Genomic DNA, 3,507 nt, shown 5'->3' with positions numbered 1-3,507 from the left:
AAGTCATTTGCCCATTTCTTTGAATTGTCTGGATTTATTGGATTTTTCTTGTTGATTTGCCCAAGTCCTTTGCCAAATGCGTGTCTTATGAATGTCTTTTCTGTGGTCTGAATTTCCCTCTCAGTGGTGTCTTTTGATGAATAATACTTCTTATGTTCATGTGGCTCAATGTACCTTTTTTTTTCCTTTTGTGGTTTTAGTGCTTTTTTTTCTTTTCCCATATTTTCTTAAAGTTTTATTATTTCACCTTTCATGGTGAGACTTACAATCTATATGGAATTAAATTTGTAAATGTGAGGTCAGAATGGGGGATATGTGTCTATTGCCCCTGATATTTAGATACACATCTAAATATCTGCTGCCTTTTCTCTGTCTCTTGTTGTCTTCGTTTTGAGGACTCTCCTTTTCCTGAGTGTCCCATGGCTGATTTTGTGTGGGTGGCAGTGGGAGGGCAGGAGGAGGAAGAGGGACTGCTGGGTCCTGTGTCTTTATTCCCAGCTCCCTCCCGCCCAGTGAACTCTGGTCTGGTGGGCAGCAGACTGGCTCCCTCACTTCCCTTACTTCTCTTCCAGGAAGCCCATCCTGGTCTCCATTCCCCAAAGCTGCTCTCCTGCTTGACTTCAGCCACACCCTCCTGCCACCCTCTTCCTCTGCCTGCTAGCCCTTTGGCTCTCCAGGGAGTGCGGCTCATGGCTTGTCTCCCCATTGATCCTCCTTCACCTCCTGCTTGTGTCTCCTGTGCCTGACAACGAGCTCACCTTCCTGCCTCACTGTGAGTGCCTGCCCTGCCAGCCCTGCTGATGCCGTGAGTTTCTTCTGCCCTCCACTGTGCCGCACGGCACAGCCCATCATAGCACTTTGCTTGCCTGGAGGTCTGCGAGCCTTCTCAGGGGAAGGAGGGGGCTTTTCCCCCTTGGCCTCACTGTATTCATTGAATTGCATGAAATTGGATTACTCTCCAGCATTGCCTGAGTCCAGTGTTGAGAGAAAGGTAGGTGAACTCCATCCATGAGTACAAGGGAAATTCTTTGGAAATGTGTTTGTAAGCTACTCTGTCTGGTATTTTCATTGGTATTTGGTCCAACGCTTGCCATAAGCTTCTGTGTTCCCTGCCACTTTACTGAGAGGAATGCAATCCCTCCCAAAGTCCCTGACACTGGGCACCCCAGAAGTGTCATTCCCAATGTGAGTAATGAGCACTTCCAACCCACCAGAGAAATATTGCCCTCAAGATGAAGGGGGAGCCAGGTGTCTGTGGCTAAAGAGACCTCTCCCTGCCCACAGTACCATTTCCATGGCTTTGGAGGAAAGCATGGGACCATGGCTTGCTCATAGGCTGGGGAAGGTGCTGGGGGCATGGGTCCTTTTGACCCCTTGGTCTCTGACAATCAGGAGATCTTGACTCCATTCGACACCTGTCCCAGAGGAGGCAGTGCCCTGTCTCCTCTTGTCCCTCTCTAGGTGCTGCTGGTGGGTACGGCAGGCCCCGTGGGTGATGCCATCCTGCTCGCCATAGAAGGAGTGGACAAGAGCTATGCTGCAGCCGTGCTGAGGGTGTGCCGGCTCTGTTGCTGTGGGGTGACCATTCAGGTCCTGCAGAGGAGCGAGGGGCTGTGCCCAGAGACTCCATGATACCCTTTGTCCTCAGGAACTCCCTGGAATGTGATGGCTCAGGCCGGAAATTCTTCCCCCAAAGAAGCCGAAGTGATCACCGGCCGGTATATGAGCACGGTGCATCAGTGTGTTCGCTGGGCCTGGGTGTCCCTGCTGAGAGACCTCCCTGCCGTTGACCCGGTGACACCCCAACATTGATCCTGTAAAACGAAGCCCAGGCAGAACAGCAGCAAGGACAGCAGCAGCAGCAAGGAGCTTCCTTTGCCTCTTTGTCAGACGTGTCCTCCGAGTCTGACTCCTCCCCTTCCCTCCCTCCCTCCCAGCAGTTGCTGATATTATTTTAGGGTTCTAGCCAGGAAAGGAGAATAATTGGTAAACAAGCAAATCCCATGCCTGAAGAATCATGTTTTCACAGTACAATCAATGCTTTTTGGAGTGAGGGGTTATATATTAAATGGTCAGGATTATTTTGAGACAAAAATGAAGGTTAATGGAATGAAGCTTAGTATTAAATAGCTTGCAGATGTCTTTTTAACCTATGAAGTGGTCGTCTGCTTTTACTAGTGGGACAGCTTGACCAGTGTAATGATTTTCAAGCTACAGAGACAGGTAATATGCCATACATAATTGCATAATATGTAAGAAAAATATCCATTTTCCTCGCACTTTATAAGACAAGTGTGTGCAGGTACCAGATTAATGATGTCAGTCTGGCTAGTTCTACTTGACATTTTTTTCTTAAAATTTTAACATATAGATTTTATACTTCTCGACTCTTATAACCTTGTATGCAGTAATGACTAATCAATTAAATGATACCCCCAAATATTAATATAAATGCTAGGCAAGATACAAGAATTCCCCAGCGGGTCCATTTTGCTGCCTCTGGTTTAGAAAATCAACTTTGCAGCCGGCACGTTGGTGGTGCCACTGTGATATACTCAGGTTTGTGTGGATGCTTCCTGCCTCGCCTTCCTGCCGCAGGGGTGGGAAGTGTGTGGTGTTGAGGTCAAAGGACCGGGCAGGTCCATGTGACTGCTCAGGTGAGGCTGGACCGTCTAACATAGGGGCTTTGGGATCACGTCCACGCCTCCCTTCATGGGTGAGGGACAATACTGTGGTTTCTCACAAGGACGCGCCCATCTGGAGATAAAAGTGAGGCACTGAAGGTGGAATTTGCTCCTGGATGAGGGCCCGGTTTGCTGGCCCCTCCCGGCGGCTGCCCCCACCCACTTGTTTTCCAGCTTGGCAGTGCTGAGCAGGGTGTCTCTGGGCAAACCCCGTCCGTGCCTGCGGAAGCCAGAGGGAGCCGCCTGTGCTCGGCGCCAACCATGGAAGCGGCTTTCAGAGTCCTCGGAGGACCCTCTCCGGGGACCACAGGGCGACGGCCGCTCCTAGCGCAAGGGCGTTTATGAACTGCTTGATAAAAAGGTCAGAGCGATTTAAGCAAAAACGGAAGGCCCTGCTGCGGCTGAAGACCCTTCTGAGGGGGAGATAAGCCCGCTGTGAAATTAGAATGTCAGTCAGCGGGAAAATGGGATTCAGAACGCTTTAAAGCTGAAAAGCTCCTTAGAGACTTTGCATCAGAAGCCCTCATTTTCTAGGTGAGAAGACTGGAGCCCGGTGAGATGGAACAGGCCCTGCAGGGCAGGACTGGGGCTGGACTCTCACACGCCTGGGTCCTGACTCTCGGGTCTTCCCACAACATCGGTCTGCATCAGGAGGCAGAGACTGGTTAGATGTTCAGCTTTCTGCTCTGGGTACGCCTTTTGGGAACCTGTCCCCTGGGAAAGAAGCAAACAGATTACCCCAGTTAGGAGTAGATCCAGCCTCCTGAAGCTGAGGACCGGGAACCCCTGCCCCCATAGCATGCTTCTGAGGTTCAGATGGGGG

The 3,507-nt window shown here is 50.6% G+C and overlaps 1 annotated feature.

The window, feature by feature from the left end:
* Positions 1,681–1,975: an enhancer, noted in NCBI's record as "tiled region #13881; K562 Activating non-DNase unmatched - State 21:Repr, and HepG2 Activating non-DNase unmatched - State 22:ReprW". NCBI's record gives its function as "activates a minimal TATA promoter and a strong SV40 promoter by Sharpr-MPRA in K562 cells, with weaker activity in HepG2 cells {active_cell/tissue: K562 | HepG2}" and the evidence as "EXISTENCE:reporter gene assay evidence [ECO:0000049][PMID:27701403]".

This window comes from Homo sapiens, chromosome 5 (genome assembly GCF_000001405.40).
Source record: "Homo sapiens chromosome 5, GRCh38.p14 Primary Assembly".
Classification (NCBI taxonomy): Eukaryota; Metazoa; Chordata; class Mammalia; order Primates; family Hominidae; genus Homo; species Homo sapiens.
The sequence above is the reverse complement of the archived record's forward strand: the minus strand, read 5'-3'. Positions and strand labels throughout refer to the sequence as shown.